General features: G+C 40.8%; 1 protein-coding gene across 1 annotated transcript in view; it reads left to right on the top strand.

Moving 5' to 3' along the window:
- KDM5A (lysine demethylase 5A) overlaps positions 1-22383 on the top strand; it is a 109264-nt gene that overhangs the window by 26085 nt on the left and 60796 nt on the right. Inside the window, exons 5-10 of the mRNA NM_001042603.3 lie at positions 139-273; positions 6699-6804; positions 7987-8078; positions 9002-9160; positions 10912-11031; positions 12457-12615. Coding sequence (NP_001036068.1) covers positions 139-273; positions 6699-6804; positions 7987-8078; positions 9002-9160; positions 10912-11031; positions 12457-12615 — 771 coding nt within the window. The remainder of the gene's footprint in view (positions 1-138; positions 274-6698; positions 6805-7986; positions 8079-9001; positions 9161-10911; positions 11032-12456; positions 12616-22383) is intronic.

Below are 22383 nucleotides of genomic sequence, written 5' to 3'. Positions count from 1 at the left end.
GGATAGCTGTATGTCAGTTTGAGAAATAATTGCGGTCTAGTTTTAGGGATTCATTGGCAATTTATTACTTTTACACTGATTCTCCAGCATGATTTCTTATCAGTGAACCTGCTCTCTTTCTGTGCTCTGATCTTTTAGGGTGTGCAGATGCCTAATTTAGATCTTAAAGAAAAAGTGGAGCCTGAGGTTCTCAGCACTGATACCCAAACTTCCCCAGAGCCAGGCACAAGGATGAACATTCTGCCGAAGAGAACAAGACGTGTGAAGACTCAGGTATCAATGTCTTGGGCTTTTTTAAATTTTTAAATAAAGATGTAGTCTCCTGATGTTGCCCAGGCTAGCCTTGAACTCCTTGGCTCAAGTGATCCTCTTGCCTCCGCCTCTTGAGTATTGCTGGTTGGTATGCGCTGCTGTGCCTGGCTCATGGGCCATTTCTCGTGGGAGTTTTAAATGCATGAACTGTGTGGAACAGTTACCTGGTCACGGGAGGCCACTCATATACTGTTGTTCTTTAAACCTTGAGCCATATTTTTCATTTACCTTTGAGATGAATGGAGAATAAATTGTGAAATGTGGCGTAATTTGATTTAGAAAGTTCTTTGTTAATTTTTTAGTAGTTTTTGACAGGGATGACAAATAAGAGGGTGACCCCGGATACTGTAGTGCCAATTTTATAGACATGCTGGTGAATTCTAGTGCATTTTATTTTTATGGTTAGCAGAAGTGAGATGAATAGGTTTTATTTTTCACCTGCCATTCCTTTAAAAACCAGAGTATAAATTTCTTAGTGTCTGAGCCATTCCAGTTTAACTACTGTAGTGTTCATGTAACCTAAAATAATTTCAAAGCCTAATACATCAGAAGAAAAATGCCCTAATTTATTTTTTGTCTGATTCCCCCCTTCCCCTGTTTATTTCTTCCTTTTGTTTCTTTCTTTTCTTTTTTTTCCCCAAGCTTTGCTTCTCTTTCAAACCCCTGTTTCCTTTTCTCTGTGGTCTTTTAAGTTTTTTAGTAAAGACAAGTTTGGAGACTGAGAAAGTGAGGTGCCCTTAGAACTCCTAAGATTTAATCCATGTACGTTAACATATAGATAGACAGGAAAAGCACCTTCACGGAATCCTAATCATTGATTTTAACGTTTAAGGAAACAATGTAGTATAGAGATGGGAATGATTAGCATCAAAAGTGGGTGTCAGAGAAGCAGGATAAAACTGCTGTTAACAAGAGACACTGAATCTGGGGTTGTGTAGAGGAGAGGTCTGGAGAGGCAGACTATTAATACTTCATCTTGCTTTTCTACAGATCAGGGACTATCTCTCCGTTATGCCATTTCTGCCTTTCTTTTTCTGAGTTTATGTTTTCTGAATACTCAGCTTCTTAGGTACCTTTTGAAAGTAGAAAGGTAGGTATCCTGGATAGGAATGTGACTTTCATGGAAATTCATTGGAAAGTGATAACCTCATTATGAATTAGTAAACTCTGGTTTAGTCATTAAGTCATTTTTATTAGTGTGATTGGTCTCAGAAGTTCTGATCATCTTTGGGTATACAGTGATTTGGGTAAACACTGATTGCTAGTCCCTTTGACATGGTGATTCTGCTTTGAAGAGTTGCCCCAATTGCTCCTGTCCATCTAACCAATCACCAGCTTGTGATGAAATTTTTTTTGATGTTCACCTTGAAACCATGAAGATGTCTTGCCTATTCCTAATGCTTTTCTTTATTATAAAAATGGGGACTACAGGCCGGGCATGGTGGCTCACGCCTGTAATCCTAGCACTTTGGGAGGCTGAGGTGGGCAGATCACGAGTTCAGGAGATCAAGACCATCCTGGCTAACACGGTGAAATCCCGTCTCTACTAAAAATACAAAAAATTAGCCGGGCGTGGTGGTGGGCACCTGTAGTCCCAGCTACTCGGGAGGCTAAGGCAGGAGAATGGCATGAACCTGGAAGGCGGAGCTTACAGAGAGCCAGGATCTCGCCACTGCAGTCCAGTCTGGGCGACAGAGCAAGACTCCGTCTCCAGAAAAAAAAAAATGGAGGGGGGTGCTGCATGGAATGCTTTTACCCTTTGTGATAGTTGTCACTGTATTCAGATTGGTTGATAAACTATTTCAGGATTTGAAATTAAGAATTTTTTCAACTCCTAATTTGTACTTAATTATTCTGTTGAATGTCTGTCGTTCATTCCTAGTTTTCTATTTCAGAAAGAAAATAAAGGCTTTCTGGTAGAACTTCAGCTTCTTGCCCCGTACACAAAACTACTGGTATTCATACTTAGTCTTTGTCTATCTCTGTGGGCAAAGTGTACCTTTCTCTTCAAGGATAATCCCTCCTCTTCCATCCCTTCTGGCATCTTTAGTGATTTCAGCATACTGAGAAATCTTTCTCTCCCACCTACTCTGTCTGTTGAATTCCATTCCTCCCAATATGTATTTAAGTCTCTATCATCTTAAACATAAAAGCCCTCTTCTTACATGATGCCTTATCCTTGCCTCTTTTCACACAGAAGTTTCTTGACAAATAGTCTTTATTGTCTCAGTTTCCTCAACATCTGTTTAGTTTTTATACTCTATAATCTAACTTTGAGCTAAGTAATTTTATTGAAACTGCACTGTCCAAGTTACCACTGAGTTTTTAATTGTCAAATTCTGAGATTCTCCTTTTCATTTCATATCTTAATTGATCTCTGGTCATGTATATGTTTAATGTGGTTGGTGACTCCTGTCCTTGAAATTGAGATTAACTTGATTTTTCTTTCATTTGTGTGATACCTTTCTCTTCTGGTTTTCCTCCTTATATTCTGACCACTCCTTAGTCATCTTTGTTATCTCTTTTCTCTTCCCTTTATTTTGTATCTTTGGTCCTTTTCTATCTTCACTCTCCTTAGCTGTCTCATCTGCATGTGATTTCAAGTACTGCCTGTAATGCTCAGAACTCTCAAATCTTGTCTTTTTTTTTTAAGACAGAGTCTTGCTGTAACTCCCAGGCTGGAGTGCAGTGGCATGATCTTGGCTCACTGTGACCTCTGCCTCCCGGGTTCAAACGATTCTCCTTCCCCAGCCTCCTGAGTAGCTGGGATTACAGGCACATGCCACTATGCCTGGCTCATTTTTTATATTTTTAGTAGAGACAGGGTTTCACCATTTTGGCCAGGCTGGTCTCAAACTGGCCTGAAGTGATCTGCCTGCCTCAGCCTCCCAAAGTGCTGGGATTATAGGTGTGAGCCATCACACCCGGCCCAAATCTATCCTTTTCTTTTCATCAGGGGTGTGTGTATGTATACATGTGTACTCCTTATTGGCTACAGCATGGTTATGCCAAATTCAATACATCTGAAAGATAATGTATTATCACCTCTTCCTTCCTTCCTTGTTTCCTCCCTCCCTCCTTTCCTCCCTCCCTCCCTCCTTGCCTCCCTTCTCCCTCCCTCCCTTCTTCCCTTCATCCCTTCCTCCTTCCCTCCCACTCCCCCCCACCCTTTTTTTTTTTTTGAGGCAGTGTGTGGCTCTGTCACCCAGGCTGGAGTGCAGTGGCGCAGTCTTGGTTAATCGCAACCTCTGCCTCCTGGGCTAAAGCCATCCTCCCACCTCAGCCTCCCAGGTAGCTGGGACCATAAGTACATACCACCACTCAGCTAATTTTTGTATGTTTGTAGAGACAGGGTTTTGCCATGTTGCCCAGGTTGGTCTCTGGGCTCGAGTGATCTGCCTGCCTTAGCCTCCCAAAGTGCTGCGATTACAGGCATGAGCCACTGTGCCCAGCTGTAAAAGCCTTTGAATGAATCAAATGAATCAAACTCCTTGATTTCTTTATTTCCCTATATGCCATGTCCAATCTTTAAACAAGTGCTGGCTGCTATTATGTCTGAAGTTTTTCCTAGGGATCCTGGTTCATTTATGTATTTGAAATGGTATTTAGAAACCATGATGTGAGCACACGGTGTGCTTGTTCCCACTGGGATGTCATTGCTTCTAGGCTCTTTTAAATGGTCAGGGCTAGAAAATAAATTTTTAAAAAGTGATGACTTGATATTTTGCATTCACACTCTAATCCAGCTCTAATCCAGCACCACAGTTCTTTTGGTTTATCTTCTAGTTTTTTCCTAGTGTTCTGAGTTGGGAGTTTAATTTTATTCTTTTGTTTTTATTGAAGTGTTTAAGACTGTAAAATTTCCTGTGATCACTGCTTTAATTTGTTCTAGAGATCTAATATGTAGTCTTTTTATTGTTTTTTTTTATTTTTTATTATTTATTTATTTTTTTGAGATGGAGTCTTGCTCTGTCGCCCAGGCTGGAGTGCAGTGGCATGATCTCAGCTCACTGCAATGTCTGCCTTCCGGGTTCAAGCAGTTCCCTGCCTCAGCCTTGTGAGTAGCTGGGGTTATAGGCACCTGCCACCATGTGTGGCTAATTTTTGTATTTTTAGTAGAAGCAGGGTTTCACCATATTGTCCAGGCTGGTCTTGAATTACGGACCTTGTGATCCACCCGCCTCAGCCTCCCAAAGTGCTGGGATTTACAAGTGTGAGTCATCATGCCTGGCCTTTGTTATTTTTTAAGTAGAGAGTTAAAATGTTCAGGTGGAAGGTCCTTTTTAATTTTGTTATTTTGAGTTTTAGATCAAAGAATGCTGTTTTATTCTACTTTTTGGACCTTTATTGCTTTTCTGAAAAGGTTGTTGTAAGGACTAATTGATTAAAGTACTTAGATATGGCATATACTATTTACTCAACATATATCAGCTTTATTGTTATATACTCTGCTTTAATAATGGTAAAGAATGTGTAGTGTTATATTTATTGTTCGACTAACAGTAGAAGTTGGTTAGTGTAACCAAATCAGTCTACAAAAGTTTAAAGATAAATATTGAAATGGCATTTAGGTTTTGTACTTATATGATCTTTTATTAGTCTAGATTGCATACATCATTTGTTATGTAACCACAGACTTATAAAGTAGTCTGTATTTTATCCTGGGTTATTTTCATGCTTATTCTTTATTTACACATTTAAAATAAATTTTGGCTATTAGTCTATATTCAGAGAATATGGTTAATCTTAATTCAAGATTGAATACCAGAATCTGTCAGGATGCTCTCACTTTCAAGTATTAGAACTTAAACATTAAACAAGTATTAGTAGCTTAAACATTAATAACAAATTTTTCACATAAGCACACATTTTTACATAAGATTTTCAGAGGTAAGTAGCTCTAGGATTGGTGAAGGGCCCAGGCTCTTTCCATCTTTCTGCCTTGCTTTCTTCGGTGTGTGGGTGATAAATTTCCTCCCAGTTGTAGTATGGCTGTTGCAGAGTCTAGCACCATGTTTTCACCAGACGGAGTCCTTTAGCAGGAAGGAAGGGAATTGGGGCAAAAGGGCTTTTTTTTTTTTTTTTTTTTTTTTTTTGAGACTGAGTCTTGCTCTGTCGCCCAGGCTGGAGTGCAGTGGTGCAATCTCAGCTCACTGCAACCTCCACCTCCTGGGTTCAAGTAATTCTTCTGCTTCAGCCTCCCAAGTAGCTGGGACTATAGGCGTGCGCCACCATGCCTGGCTAATTTTTGTATTTTTAGTAGAGACGGGGTTTCACCATATTGGGCGGGCTGGTTTAGAACTCCTGACCTTGTGATCCGCCCGCCTCGGCCTCCCAAAGTGCTGGGATTACAGGCATGAGCCACCGTGCCCAGCCTCCAGAAGGACTTATTCTTTAAGATGCTTTCCTCTTTTTTTTTTTAAAGACAGGGTCTTTTTGTGTCACCCAGGCTGGGGTGTGGTAGGACAATCATGGCTTGCTGCAGCCTTGAACTCCAGGGCTTCAAGTGATCTTCCTGCCTCAGTCTCCTGGGTAGCTAGGACTTCAGGTGTGTGCCAACATGCCCAGCTAATTTTTTTTTTTTTGGTAGAAACGGGGGTCACTATGTTGCCCAGGCTGGGAGAAGCTTTCCCATTGATGGATTGATTCAGGGTCTCGCTTGTCTGTCACCCAGGGTGGAGTGCAGCAGCGTGATCTCGCCTCACTGCCTCAACCTCTCAAACTCAAGTGATCTCCAGCCTCAGCCTCCCAAGTAGCTGGGACTACAGATGCACACCACCATGCCTGGCTAATTTTTGTACTTTTTGTAGAGATGGGGTCTCCCCTGTGTTGTCCAGGCTGGTCTGTAACTCCTGAGCTCAAATGATCACCTGCCTTGGCCTTCCAATGTGTTGGGATTACAGGTGTGAGCCATTGTGTCTGGCCATTCGCCTTTTATTAGAAGATGGCAGTCTTTCCCAGGGGCTTCCAGTACAATTTTTTAATGTCATCACCAACAAAGAAAAATGAGGTTAGTGTGATTGGCTTAGGACAGTCACAGTTCATGTCCTGAGATGCCCTCTAATCAAATACAGGTGTCCGGTAGGAAGTTAGAAGTGGGGATTTCTATTGTGTGATAACCAGCAGTGTCTGTCTTTAGACAGCTTGAGAACTATGCTTTTATGAGTCATACACGAGTTTTATTTTGTGGAAAGGAATCTGGGTGTTGAATGGTGTTTTGGTGACCGTTTTCAACTGTGGTAATGAGGCAGTGAGTGGATTTACAGAAAAGAAATCCAATAATTTGTTCTTCCGTGTTGAAGAGGATTCTGAAACTTTCCTTGGGTAAAAAAATTAATGCATGAATCAGCATGATTATGCTAATGTGAATTTTGCTTATTTTTTAGTCAGAATCTGGAGATGTGAGTAGAAACACGGAACTGAAGAAACTTCAGATTTTTGGGGCTGGGCCCAAGGTTGTGGGCTTGGCAATGGGAACAAAAGATAAAGAAGGTAAAATTTGTTGTTTGATCATGAAAAGAGATAAGGTAGAATATGATTGTAAAAAAACTCAAATGATACTTGAATTGCAGTCTGTGCTGGGAATTTCTTAAGAATTGTAAAATCGCAATGTGGTTCCTAGGCAAATCGCCTTTTTTAATGCCAGATCTCTTAAATTTCAGGTGTGAAGAGCAATGTTATGTTGAATTTTTATGATTTTGGAAGAGAGGATTTTCCTTCTCTGTGTAATATATGACACACAAATTTATTGCAGTTTCTGAAGGCTGGTTTATGAGAGAATGATGGAATTAATGGTTCTTACCTCGTGAGCTAAAGCTTGTAACTCTTAGTATCGACATACACTGGGAGAAGTTTAGAATTTTAAAATTCTAACCATAATTTTAATTTTTAAAGTAATTGCCCTTGATATATTATGTCAGTTCATTTGAATAAACTGTTTTCTTTAGTAAGTCTGTTACTCTCGGCTTCACGTTTGGAAGTTTTTTGTCAGTAGGACTGCTCATGCAAAGATCAAGTTCCACTGTTCTCTCTATGTAACATGTCAATTATAAAACTGTTTAACAAAGATTAGGCTGGATATGTTTTGACTATATGAGAACTTAATGAAATGCTACAGTCACAAAGACTAATTACTGTGTACTTAGATGTGTAAAGTCATACAATTCAGATAGTGGACTGAACTCTAGAAGATTAAATAATATTGTTCCATCTCTCTTAAAACATCCCATGTAATAAGACTTACTAAATACATTGTAATAATAATATTTCCTTTTTAAGAATTAAGTACTTTATTTTTGTTACTCTTGTAATTATAGTATTGGCTGTCAACAGTCTTAGAAATTAGTCCCTAATTTGGGAGTTCCTCCAAGTAATACCTGCAGGTTGTATGTAGTACGTACTGCATACACATACAACATTAATGGGTAAGCTCTCTGGATCTTACGTGACTGGATTAGAATCTTAAATTTGCCTTGCTGTATGATTTTGAGCAAGTTACTAACTTTGCTGTACCTCAGGTTCTTCATCTTCAGTGAGAGATAATAAATAGTATATCTACCTCTAGATAAACAGTTGTAAGATTTTAACTAATTTAAATAATTTTAAATAGTGTCTGGTCCATAGTAAGCTCTCAACATTGGTTTTTACTATTATTGTGTAACTTTTTATTTCAAGATGAGGTCACCCGAAGACGAAAAGTTACCAACAGGTCAGACGCATTTAACATGCAAATGAGACAACGGAAAGGCACTCTCTCTGTTAACTTTGTAAGTGTTTTGGGGTCTGTCAGGAGGGAAAGGATTTATTTTTATTATAGTTTTGCACTTTCTATCCTGATATATCATGGTATGTGTTTAGTTAGCTCGTTTGGTTAGAAGACTTGATGGCACATCTGTGAAGTTACAGCTTTTGTTTATGTTGTTAACCTGGCTCTGTCCTACATACGTAGGCTGCTTCCTGTAAGTCATACACCTTATGGGGAACCAAGTGAGAGCATGAAAATGAATCTGTGTAAGTCGTTGAGTTCTATTATAGACAGTCTCAGTATTCATTCTCTATCAAAGAGGATTTGTATATGGGAAGAAGGACATGGTATTTTTAAAAATACATGTAAATTGATTTTCAAATGCCCTAGATTTGTAGTCTTTCCTTTTTTTTTTGAGACGGAGTCTTGCTGTTGCCCAGGCTGGAGTGCAGTGGTGCGATCTCGGCTCACTGCAAGCTCCACCTCTCGGGCTCATGCCATTCTCCTGCCTCAGCCTCCCGAGTAGCTGGGACTACAGGCACCTGCCACCATGCCTGGCTAATTTTTTGTATTTTTAGTAGAGACGGGGTTTCACTGTGTTAGCCAGGATGGTCTCAATCTCCTGACCTCGTGATCTGCCCACTGTGGCTCCCAAAGTGCTGGGATTACAGGCGTGAGCCACTGTGCCTGGCCTGTAGTCTTTATTCTAACAACTTGATACACCTTTATTAACTTGCTATTAACTTGCTTGTAAAAACTCTGGAAGGAAATTTAGGGAGTTTTATGAAAAGCTGTTTAAATACAATTACTTGAAATAGACATTCAGGATTTAAGTTATGTTTACTTTTCAGTTGCATTATTTTGTTTATTTCAGCTAAGGAGTTCCTGGTAAAAATTTATTATTTATTATAGAAAATAGACTTTCATTTATTTTTTTTTTAACAGGTTGATCTCTATGTTTGTATGTTTTGTGGTCGGGGAAACAATGAAGATAAATTGCTTTTGTGTGATGGATGTGATGACAGCTATCATACATTTTGTCTAATTCCTCCACTACCTGATGTGCCCAAAGGAGACTGGAGGTGTCCTAAATGTGTCGCCGAGGTACACGTCTAACCTCTATGGATCCTTTTTTAACTAAAAATAATAATACATGCATATACACCTACATATAAACATATTCCCAAATATGTTTCCTTTTGTCATTCTGTCTTCATTATGTAGTGTTTAAAATTTCCAGGACTTTTTTTTTTTTTTTTGAGATGGTGTCTCACTCTGTCGCCAGGCTGGAATGCAATGGTGTGATCTCAGCTCACTGCAACCTCCACCTCCCGGGTTCAAGTGATTCTCCTGCCTCAGCCTCCGAAGTAGCTGGGACTACAGGCGCGAGCCACCACGCCCAGCTAATTTTTGTATTTTTAGTAGAGACCATGGTTTCACCATGTTGGCCAGGATAGTCTCGGTCTCTTGACCTCGTAATCTGCCTGTCTCGGCTTCCCAGAGTGCTGGGATTACAGGCTTGAGCCACCATGCCTGGCCAATTTCCAGGACTTAAAATATCTATATTGAATGGAAATGTAACAATTGTATTGTGGTAGCTTGCCTTTCAAAGATTCTTTTTCTAACTGTTGGTTAGGTCATTCTGTTTATTGCTGCAGATAATGAGACTTGACTTAGAATAAATATTGCTGGGCAACAATAAAAATGAAGAAAAACATAGTTTTTTCTCTATTAATTAAAGTATAACTAGACATGAAGCTGTAGAACTTGGGATTTATGCATCCAATTTCATGCTATTAAATAAACTGACGGTATCTTTTATTTATTTAGTATTTATTTATTTACTTTTTTGAGACGGTCTACAGCCTCTCGCTCAGTCTGCAGTGCAGTGGCGCGGTCTCAGCTCACTGCAGCCTCTGGCTTCTGGGCTCAGGTGATACTCCCAGCTCAGCCTCCCTACAGATGTATGCCACCACGCCCAGCTAATTTTTGTATTTTTTGTAGAGACAAGGTTTACCATGTTGGCCAGGCTGGTCTAAACTCCTGGACTCAAGTGGTCCACCTGCCTTGACCTTCCAAAGTGCTGGGATTACAGACACGAGCCACTGTGCCGGGCCCTGATGGTATCTTTTAGCTTGCCCCAATTTTTACTTGACTGTGCTAAATTTTTCTTAGTGAAAGCTTACAGTGTTGTCATTGTCGTGAAATGCCTTGTCTGTTTACTTATTTTAACAAAATGCTGTGATAGGACATTAAAGAGAAGGAGTTAGCTGGGTGTATGTAAATGCATTCAAAGGTCTTTTATGGCCTTTGAATTATCACTTATTTACTATTCTCCAGGTTGAAAGATTCAGAGGCAGTTCTACTCTAAGTGAGTATTTGTGTTAAGACATTGGTCATAGTGATTGGCAGTGTGAACAAACTATTCTCTTAGTCTGATATCCTCACAATCCAGTGGCTATCCCCTTATCCATTACCTTTCCTTCCTCCATGAACATTTGTTTCCTCCATGGCCAAAACCACTGGGTATGCCAAGAATGTTAGGCATCCCTAGGCATGATTCCAAGTCAGTAGTCCTTTAGATGCTTGTCTTAGTGCCAGAACTTAATGCTACCTCTGGATCTAAAGCCATCTTAGTACTACCTTCCTATTGGAAGGCTGTGACAGTGAAGTTGAGGCTCTAGAAAATAACTTCCTGATACGGTATTGTAAGTAGCTGATATTTGTTTTGTTGTCTAGGGTTGACTGGATTTACTTTACCTAGGGAAATGATCAAAGAATTTAGTAACTAAGAGCCTTAAAGCTTTCTTCAGTTTAGTTTCAGTAAGTTAATCTTACATATTTTTTCTTTCCAGGAATGTAGCAAACCTCGAGAAGCCTTTGGATTTGAACAAGCTGTACGAGAGTATACACTTCAGAGCTTTGGAGAGATGGCAGATAATTTTAAGTCTGATTATTTTAATATGCCAGTCCATGTGAGTAAGCTATCTTTTAGGTCGGTCCGGGGAGGTACAAAGATTTACCTGAGTACAAAGCCTTCAGTTTCCTCTTTTTTTTTTTTTTTTTTTTTTTTTTTGAGACGGAGTCTTGCTTTGTCGCCCAGGCTGGAGTGCAGTGGCACAATCTCGGCTCACTGCAACCTCTGCCTCCCAGGTTCAAGTAATTCTCCTGCCTCAGCCTCCCGAGTAGCTGGGACTGCAGGCGCCTGCCACCATACCCAGCTAATTTTTGTGTTTTTAGTAGAGATGGGGTTTCACCATATTGGTCAGGCTGGTCTTGAACTCCTGACCTCAGGTTATCCACTCGCCTCGGCCTCCCAAAGTTCTGGGATTATAGCCATGAACCACTGCGCCCAGCCAATTTTTGTATTTTTAATAGAGACGGGATTTCACTCTGTCGCCCAGGCTGGTCTCGATCTCCTGACCTCAAGTGATCTGCCTGCCTTGGCCTCCCAAAGTGTTGGGATTACAGATGTGAGCCACCACGCCCAGCTGTCTATTTTGATGCTTGAATTGTTATTTTAGCCCTGTATGAGTAATCCTTTACAGAAAAGCGTAAAGTATTGGGCAGTTGCTGCTTTTCTTTAGTTATTTTTACTGTGGGGTTTGCTTCTTTTCCTAGGATATCTTAGGCTTTTTTAGTCCCTGTCAAAAAAATTTGCTATAGTTATTAAAATCTAGTGTTGCTTTAAAGACTTGAAACCAACCCAGATGCCCATCAATGATAGACTGGATGAAGAAAATGTGGCACATATATACCATGGAATACTATGCAGTCATAAAAAAGGATAAGTTCATGTCCTTTGCAGGGACATGGATGAAGCTGGAAACCATCATTTCCAGCAAACTAACACAGGAGCAGAAAACTAAACACCCCACGTTCTCACTCATAAGTGGGAGGTGAACAATGAGAACACACGGACACAGGAAGGGGAACATCACACACCGGGGCCTGTCCGGGAGTAGGGGGCTAGGGGAGGGATAGCATTAGGAGAAATACCCAATGTAGAACTTAAAGTATAATTAAAAACAAAAAGAAAATGAAATTTTGTGTTAAAATCATAAAAGGCATAAAATAGAAGCTATTAAAAAAATTTAATCTTGCTGTTTACATTTCCTTGTTCCTCCTTGATTTCCTAGTTCATCTTTGTCCGTACTTGGGAAACAGTTTCTTTCGGAAAAGGGCAGCACAGTTCATTATGTTTTTCTGAACGTCCGAGTTGTCTCAGCTTTTCCCTGTTCTCATTGGAAAAAGCTAGGATCTCGGTCTTTACTGCTCTAGGGAATCAGAAGATTTTTAATCTCATCATGGGTTTGTGTTTACTTGATCCTGTGTATTATGTTATATGGGTTATAGTTATAGTGGTTTAATAATTTGTCATCTTTTTTTTCCCTGTGTAGATGGTTCCCACAGAACTAGTAGAAAAGGAATTTTGGCGGCTGGTAAGCAGCATTGAAGAAGATGTTATTGTGGAATATGGAGCAGATATCTCCTCAAAAGACTTTGGAAGTGGATTTCCGGTGAAGGATGGGCGGAGAAAGATTCTGCCAGAAGAAGAGGTGCAGATTTATCCAAACTTTTGCTTACCCCCAAGCTGATTTAGCTTTTGCATTGAAAACTATCTTAAGGGATCACATTAACTTAAAATATTAAATACGTAGGATTTGGCAGTATAAATAATCTTCAGTTTTGAAAACGAAGAATTCAGAATACTTTGAAAAATTATTTAACTCTTTTTTTTTTTTTTTTTTTGAGAAGGAATCTCACTCTGTCACCTAGGCTGGAGCGCGAGCTTAGCTCACCGCAACCTCCACCTCCTGGGTTCAAGCAATTCTCTTGCCTCAGCCTTCCGAGTAGCTGGTATTACAGGCACCCGCTATTATGCCCGGCTAATTTTTGTATTTTTGTAGAGACAGGGTTTCACCATGTTGGACAGGATGGTCTTGAACTCCTGACCTCAGGTGATCTGCCTGCCTCGGCTTCCCAAAGTGCTGGGATTACAGGCGTGAGCCACTGTGCCTGGCCATTAACTCAGCATTTTTTTTTTCCTTTGAGAGGAGTTTTGTTCCTGTCGCCCCTGCTAGAGTGTAGTGGCACGATCTTGGCTCACTGCAACCTCCACCTCCCGGGTTCAAGCGATTCCCCTGCCTCAACCTCCCAAGTAGCTGGGATTACAGGCATGCACCACCACGCCCAGCTAATTTTGTATTTTTAGTAGAGATGGGGTTTCTCCATGTTGGTCAGGCTGGTCTCGAACTCCCGACCTCAGGTGATCCCCTGTCTCGGCCTCCCAGAGTGCTGGGATTACAGGCGTGAGTCACTGCGCCCGGCCAGCTCTGCATTTTAAAACTAATTTAAGCTGAGTGCAATGACTCACACCTGTAATCCCAGAACTTTGAGAGGCCAAGGTGGAAAGGTTGCCTGAAGCCAGGAGTGACAGAAGAAAAACCTGTCTCTTAAAAAAAAGGAAAAAAAAAAAAGCTAATTTAATTAGTTCAAAATTTTAACTCCAGTTTAATATTTTTGCCTAGTTCTTTCTGTTATAAAATCCAGGATGGGCGTGGTGGCTCACGCCTGTAATCCCAGCACTTTGTGAGGCCGAGGTGGGTGGATCACGAGGTCAGGAGTTCAAGACCAGCCTGGCCAAGATGGTGAAACCACGTCTCTACTAAAAATACAAAAATTAGCCGAGTATGGTGGTGGGCGCCTGTAATCCCAGCTACTCAGGAGGCTGAGGCAGAGAATTGCTTGAACCTGGGAAGCGGAGGTTGCAGTGAGCTGAGATCATGCCACTGCACTCCAGCCTGGGTGACAGAGCGAGACTCCGTCTCAAAAAAAAAAAAAAAAAAGTCTAGAAGATGGCTGGGCGCGGGGGCTCACACCTGTAATCCCAGCACTTTGGGAGGCCGAGGCCAGTGGATCACCTGAAGTCAGGATTTTGAGACCAGCCTGACCAACATGGTGAAACCCCGTCTCTACTAAATATAAAAAATTAACTGGGCGTGGTGGCACATGCCTGTAATCCTAGCTACTTGGGAGGCTAAGGCAGGATAATCACTTGAATCCAGGAGGCAGAGGTTGCAGTGAGCCGAGATTGCGCCATTGCACTCCAGCCTGGGCAACGAGGGTGAAACAGTATCTCAAAAAAAAAAAAAAAAGTCTAGAAGCTGATTTTTTTTTTCTTTTCTTCAACTCACCTCACTGAATGCGTGTTTTTTCCCCCTATAACGAGTTTGACACCATAAGGTTTTTTTTTTTTAATTTTTTATTTTATTACACTTTAAGTTCTAGGGTACATGTGCACAACATGCAGGTTTCATACATAGGTATACATGTGCCATGTTGATTTGCTGCACCCATCAGCTCATTTACATTAGGTATTTCTCCTAATGCTATCCCTCCTCCAGCCCCCCACCCCCTGACAGGCCCCAGTGTGTGATGTTCCCCGCCCTGTGTTCAAGTGATCTCATTGTTCACTTCTCACCTATGAGTGAGAACACGTGGTTTTTGGTTTTCTATCCCTGTGATAGTTTGCTGAGAATGATGGTTTCCAGCTTCATCCATGTCCCTGCAAAGGACATGAACTCATCGTTTTTTCTGGCTGCACAATATTCCATGGTGTATATGTGCCACGTTTTCTTAATCCAGTCTATCATTGATGGACATTTGGGTTGGTTCCAAGTCTTTGCTATTGTGAATACTGCCGCAATAAACATACGTGTGAACGTGTCTTTACAGTAGCATGATTTGTAATCCTTTGGGTATATACCCAGTAATGGGATGGCTGGGTCAAATGGTATTTCTACTTCTAGATCCTTAAGGAATCGCCACACTGACTTCCACAATGGTTGAACTAGTGTACAGTCCCACCAACAGTGTAACAGTGTTCCTATTTCTCCACATCCTCTCCAGCACCTGTTTCCTGACTTTTTAATGATCGCCATTCTAACTGGTGTGAGATGGTATCTCATTGTGGTTTTGATTTGCATTTCTCTGATGGCCAGTGATGATGAGCATTTTTTCATGTGTCTGTTGGCTGCATAAATGTCTTCTTTTGAGAAGTGTCTGTTCATATCCTTTGCCCACTTTTTGATGGGGTTGTTTGTTTTTTTCTTGTAAATTTGTTTGAGTTCTTTGTAGATTCTGGATATTAGCCCTTTGTCAGATGGATAGATTGCAAAAATTTTCTCCCCTTCTGTAGGTTGCTTGTTTACTCTGATGGTAGTTTCTTTTGCTGTACAGAAGCTCTTCAGTTTAATTAGATCCCATTTGTCTATTTTGGCTTTTGTTGCCATTGCTTTTGGTGTTTTAGTCATGAAGTCCTTGCCCATGCCTGTGTCCTGAATGGTATTGCCTAGGTTTTCTTCTAGGGTTTTTATGGTTTTAAGTCTAACATTTAAGTCTTTAATCCATCTTGAATTAATTTTTGTATAAGGTGTAAGGAAGGGATCCAGTTTCAGCTTTCTACATGTGGCTAGCCAGTTTTCCCAGGACCGTTTATTAAATAGGGAATCCTTTCCCCATTTCTTGTTTTTGTCAGGTTTGTCAAAGATGAGATGGTTGTGGATATGTGGTGTTATTTCTGAGGGCTCTGTTCTGTTCCATTGGTCTATGTCTCTGTTTTGGTACCAGTACCATGCTGTTTTGGTTACTGTAGCCTTGTAGTATAGTTTAAAGTCAGGTAGTGTGATGCCTCCAGCTTTGTTCTTTTTGCTTAGGATTATCTTGGCAATGCGGGCTCTTTTTTGGTTCCATATGAACTTTAAAGTAGTTTTTTCCAATTCTGTGAAGAAAGTCCATTGGTAGCTTGATGGGGATGGCGTTGAATGGATAAATTACTTTGGGCAATATGGCCATTTTCACTATATTGATTCTTCCTATCCATGAGCATGGAATATTCTTCCATTTGCTGTGTCCTCTTTTATTTCGTTGAGCAGTGGTTTGTAGTTCTCCTTGAAGAGGTCCTTCATATCTCTTGTAAGTTGGATTCCTAGGTGTTTTATTCTCTTTGTAGCAATTGTGAATGGGAGTTCACTCATGATTTGGCTGTTTGTCTGTTAATGATATATAAGAATGCTTGTGATTTTTGCACATTGATTTTGTATGCTGAGACTTTGCTGAAGTTGCTTATCAGCTTAAGGAGATTTTGGGCTGAGATGATGGGATTTTCTAAATATACAGTCATGTCATCTGCAAACAGGGACAATTTGACTTCCTCTTTTCCTAATTGAATACCCTTTATTTCTTTCTCTTGCCTGATTGCCCTGGCCAGAACTTCCAACACTATGTTGAATAGGAGTGGTGAGAGAAGACATCCTTCTCTTGTGCTGGTTTTCAAAGGGAATGCTTCCAGCTTTTGCCCATTCAGTATGATATTGGCTGTGGGTTTGTCATAAATAGCTCTTATTATTTTGAGATACATTCCATCAATACCTCGTTTATTGAGAGTTTTTAGCATGAAGGTTGTTGAATTTTGTCAAAGGCCTTTTCTGCATCTATTGAGATAATCATGTAGTTTTTGTCATTGGTTCTGTTTATGTGATGGATTACGTTTATCGATTTGAGTATGTTGAACTAGCCTTGCATCCCGGGGATGAAGCCAACTCGATTGTGGTGAATAATAAGCTTTTTGACGTGCTGCTGGATTCGGTTTGCCAATATTTTATTGGGGATTTTCACATCGATGTTCATCAGGGATATTGGTCTAAAATTCTCTTTTTTTGTTGTGTCTCTGCCAGGCTTTGGTATCAGGATGATGTTGGCCTCATAAAATGAGTTAGGGAGGATTCCGTCTTTTTCTATTGCTTGGAATAGTTTCAGAAGGAATGGTACCAGCTCCTCTTTGTACCTCTGGTAGAATTTGGCTGTGAATCCATCTGGTCCTGGACTTTTTTTGTTTGGTAGGCTATTATTGCCTCAATTTCAGAGCCTGCTATTGGTCTGTTCAGAGATTCAACTTCTTCCTGGTTTAGTCTTGGGAGAGTGTATGTGTCCAGGAATTTATCCATTTCTTCTAGATTTTCTAGTTTATTTGTGTAGAGGTGTTTATAGTATTCTCTGATGGTAGTTTGTATTTCTGTGGGATTGGTGGTGATATCCCCTTTATCATTTTTTATTGCATCTATTTGATTCTTCTCTCCTTTCTTTTTTATTAGTCTTGCTCGTGGTCTATCAATTTTGTTGATCTTTTCAAAAAACCAGGTCCTGGATTTAATTGATGTTTTGAAGGTTTTTTGTGTCTCTCTGTCTTTCAGTTCTGCTCTGATCTTAGTTATTTCTTGCCTTCTGCTAGCTTTTGAATTTGCTTGCTCTTGCTTCTCTAGTTCTTTTAATTGTGATGTTAGGATGTCCATTTTAGATCTTTCCTGCTTTCTCTTGTGGGCATTTAGTGCTATAAATTTCCCTCTACACACTGCTTTAAATGTGTCCCAGAGATTCTGGTATGTTGTGTTTTTGTTCTCATTTGTTTCAAAGAACATCTTTATTTCTGCCTTCATTTCGTTATTTACCCAGTAGTCATTCAGGAGCAGGTTGTTAAGTTTCCATGTAGTTGTGCGGTTTTGATTTGAGTTTCTTAATCCTGAGTTCTAATTTGATTGCACTGTGGTCTGAGAGACAGTTTGTTATGATTTCTGTTCTTTTTCATTTGCTGAGGAGTGCTTTACTTCCAATTATGTGGTCAATTTTAGAATAAGTGCAATGTGCTGAGCAGAATGTATATTCTGTTGCTTTGGGGTGGAGAGTTCTGTAGATGTCTATTAGGTCTGCTTTTTGCAGAGCTGAATTCAGGTCCTGGATATCCTTGTTAACCTGTGTCTCATTGATCTATCTAATATTGACAGTGGGTTGTTAAAGTTTCCCATTATCATTGTGTGGGAGTCTAAGTCTCTTTGTGGGTCTCTAAGGACTTGCTTTAGGAATCTGGGTGCTCCTGTATTGGGTGCATATATATTTAGGATAGTTAGCTCTTCTTGTTGAATTCATCCCTTTACCATTATGTAATGGCCTTCCTTGTCTCTTTAGATCTTTGTTGGTTCAAAGTCTGTTTTATCAGAGACTGGGATTGCAACCCGTGCTTTTTTTTTTGCTTTCTATTTGTTTGGTAGATCTTCCTCCGTCCCTTTATTTTGAGCCTGTGTGCGTCTTTGCACGTGAGATGGGTCTCCTGAATACGGCACACTGATGGGTCTTGACTCTTTTTCCAATTTGCCAGTCTATGTCTTTTAATTGGGGCATTTAGCCCATTTACATTTAAGGTTAATGTTGCTATGTGTGAATTTGATCCTGTCATTATGATGTTTGCTGGTTATTTTGCCCATGAATTGATGCAGTTTCTTCATAGCATTGATGGTCTTTTCAATTTGGCTTGTTTCTGCAGTGGCTGGTACCAGTTGTTCCCTTCCATGTTTAGTGCTTCCTTCAGGAGCTCTTGTAAGGCAGGCCTGGTGGTGACAAAATCTCTCAGCATTTGCTTGTCTGTAAAGGATTTTATTTCTCCTTCACTTATGAGGCTTAGTTTGGCTGGCTATGAAATTCTGAGTTGAAAATTCTTTTCTTTAAGAATGTTGAATATTGGCCCCCACTCTCTTCTGGCTTGTAGGGTTTCTGCCGAGAGATCCGCTGTTAGTCTGATGGGCTTCCCTTTGTGGGTAACTTGACCTTTCTCTCTGGCTGCCCTTAACACTTTTTCCTTCATTTCAGCGTTGGTGAATCTGACAATTATGTGTCTTGGGTTTGCTCTTCTCAAGGAGTATTTTTGTGGTGTTCTCTGTATTTCCTGAATTTGAATGTTGGCCTGCCTTGCTAGGTTGGGGAAGTTCTCCTGGATAATATCCTGAAGAGTGTTTTCCAACTGGGTTTCATCCTCCCCATCACTTTAAGGTACACCAATCAAATGTAGATTTGGTCTTTTCACATAGTCCCATATTTATTGGAGGCTTTGTTTGTTTCTTCTTACTCTTTTTTCTCTAACCTTGTCCTCTCACTTTATTTCATTAATTTGATCTTCAATCACTGATACCCTTTCTTCCACTTGATCAAATTGGCTATTGAAGCTTGTGCATGTGTAATGAAGTTCTCGTCCCATGGTTTTCAGCTCCATCAGGTCATTTAAGGTCTTCTCTACACTGTTTATTCTAGTTAGCGATTTGTCTAATCTTTTTTCAAGGTTTTTAGCTTCCTTGCGATGGGTTTGAACATCCTCCTTTAGCTCGGAGAAGTTTGTTTTTACTGACCTTCTGAACCCTACTTCTGTCAACTCATCAGTCATTCTCCATCCAGCTTTGTTCCATTGCTGGCAAGGAGCTGCCATCCTTTGGAGGAGAAGAGGCACTCTGATTTTTAGAATTTTCAGCTTTTCTGCTCTGGTTTCTCCCCATCTTTGTGGTTTTATCTACCTTTGGTCTTTGATGTTGGTGATCTACAGATGGGGTTTTGGTATAGATGACCTTTTTGTTGATGTTGATACTATTCCTTTCTGTTTGTTAGTTTTCCTTCTAACAGTCAGGACCCTCAGCTGCAGATCTGTTGGAGTTTGTTGGAGGTCCATTCCAGACCCTGTTTGCCTGGGTATCACCAGTGGAGGCTGCAGAACAGCAAATATTGCTGCTTGATGCTTCCTGTGGAAGCTTCGTCCCAGAGTGGCAGCTGTCTATATGAAGTGTCTGTTGGCCCCTACTAGGGGTGTCTCCCAGTTAGGCTACATGAGGGTCAGGGACCTACTCGAGGAGGCAGTCTGTCCATTCTCAGAGGTGAAATGCCGTGCTCTCTTCAGAGCTGTCAGACAGGGATGTTTAAGTCTGCAGAAGTTGTCTGCTGCCTTTTGTTCAGCCATGCCCTGCCCAGAGAGGTGGAGTCTAGAGGCAGTAGGCCTTGTTGAGCTGCCGTGGGCTCCACCCAGTTTGAGCTTCCAGGGTGCTTTTTCTACCTACTCAAGCCTCAGCAATGGTGGACGCCCCTCCCCCAGCCAGGCTGCTGCCTCAGCAGATTGATCTCAGACTGCTGCGCTAGCAGTGAGCAAGGCTCTGTGGGTGTGGGACCTGCGGAGCCAGGCATGGGAGAGAATCACCTTGTCTGCCAGTTGCTAAGACCTTGGGAAAATTGCAGTATTTGGGCGGGAGTGCCTCGTTTTTCCAGGTAGTCTGTCATGGCTTCCCTTGGCTAGGAAAGGGAAATCCTCTGACCCCTTGTTCTTCCAGGGTGAGGTGATGCACGCCCTGCTTCAGCTAGCCCTCTGTGGGCTGCACCCACTGTCCAAGCAGTCCCAGTGAATGATCCAGGTATCTCAGTTGGAAATGCAGAAATCACCCGTCTTCTGCGTTGAGCACGCTGGAAGCTGTAGGCCGGAGCTGTTCCTATTTGGCCATCTTGGAACGCCCCTCCCCAGGTTTTTTTTTTTTTTTTTTTAAATCACATTTTAGGCCAGGCACGGTGGCCCATGCCTGTAATTCGAGCCCTTTGGGAGGCCGAGGCAGGTGAATCACTTGAGGTCAGTAGTTAGAGACCAGGCTGGCCAACATGGTGAAACCCTGTCTCTACTAAAAAAATACAAAAATTAGCTGGGCGTGGTGGCGCTTGCCTGTAATCCCAGCTACTCTGGAGGCTGAGGCAGGAGAATCACTTGAACGTGGGAGGCGGAGGTTGCAGTGAGCCGAGATCATGCCACTGCACTCCAGCCTGGGCGACAGAGCAAGACTCTGTCTCCAAGAGGAAAAAAAAAACACATTTTATTGGTAGGTCCAGAAATAAGTTTCCTTCAACACCTGAGTGGGTAGATTGTCAAATATGTGTTTAAAGTGTAACATATACATACAGTTCTATCACGTAGGAGATGACCTGTATTTGTAAAGCTGAATTGAGATGGTAATTCATTTCTTTTCTCTTTACTTTGATTCTTGACACTTTTTCTTTCCCCCTATAATTGGCAATAATTTATCTCCTGTTAAAAGAGTTGCACATGATAAAGTTGCATAGTACAGAGGATATATAAATAAAAGTATAGCCCCTGTAGCTTTATTATGGTTACTGTTTGCTTGGTGTATCTTTTTCCATTCTTTTATTTTGAAGCTGTTTGTGTCTCAGAATCTGAAGTGTGTCTCTTGTAGATAGCATATAATTGGATCTTGCTTTTTTTCCTAAGCTGACAGTTGCTTTTTGATTGTTTAGTCTGTTTACGTTTAATGTAATTATTGCTATGGTTGATTTATGTCTCCCATTTTGCTGTTTTCTGTGTCCCATGTCTTTTTTTCCCCCCATTTCTCTCTCTCTCTTTTTTTTTTTTTGGAGACAGAGTCTTGCCCTGTTGCCCGGCTGGAGTACAGTGGCACCATCTTGGTTCACTGCAGCCTCCACCTCCCAGGTTCAAGCAGTTCTCCTACCCCAGTCTCCTGAGTAGCTGGGATTACAGGTGCCCACTACCACACCCAGCTAATTTTTGTATTTTTAGCAGAGATGAGGTTTCACCATGTTGGCCCAGCTGGTCTCGAGCTCCTGACCTCGTGATTCGCTCACCTTGGCCTCCCAAAGTGCTGGGATTAGAGATGTAAACCACCACACCCAGCCTCCATTTCTCTATTATGGCCTTTTGGTGTTAGCTATTTTTAGTTATAACAATCTAATTATTCTGGTTTTTTTGGCTGTGTGTTTGTGATTTAGTTTTTAGTGTTATTTGGTTCTATCCTCATGTTACTGATTTTTTTTTTCCCTCTTGTCATGGTAGACCACAAGTTAGGATAACAAAGTTAGGATAATATTGATTAGAGAATAGACTTTGGGATTTACCAAGGGAGAAAGAGAATGATTATAACAGGATGGAGAACCTAGATTATATGGGGATGGTTTTTATAGGAACAGTTCAATGTTGGAATGTATACATGTTTAATGTCACTGAATTTTAAACCTGTTTGTATAAGTATCTATAAAGAAATGTATCAGCCTGAATGTCTTCACACCCTTCCATTGGCAAATGGAAGGTAGTGATCTCATTATTAGAGAGAGACTTCATTTTTTAGCTTTTGCCTTTTTCTGAATTTTCTGTTCTGAATTTTTAAATTGTTCTTGAGCAGATATTTACATTTTCTGAGGTTTTACAGATCACAGAATTTTTAAAGATTATTTTGTATCAACCCTAAGTAACTAATATTAAGAATGTAAATAGTAATCCTGCCTCCATTATTGAATTTTGTATGAATTTTATGAAAACATACTCATTTATCTATTTCTGCTTTTACTCCAACTTCATGTAAGAATGTGGAGACATGCAGGCTTATAACCGTGTGTTTGTTAGATAGGAGCAGCTTTTGACCTTGATAGTGATTATTAGATGGATG

The sequence above is a fragment of the Homo sapiens genome, chromosome 12, assembly GCF_000001405.40.
Source record: "Homo sapiens chromosome 12, GRCh38.p14 Primary Assembly".
NCBI lineage: Eukaryota > Metazoa > Chordata > Mammalia > Primates > Hominidae > Homo > Homo sapiens.
Note: the sequence above shows the minus strand (reverse complement) of the source record. Positions and strands in the feature narration are given on the sequence as shown.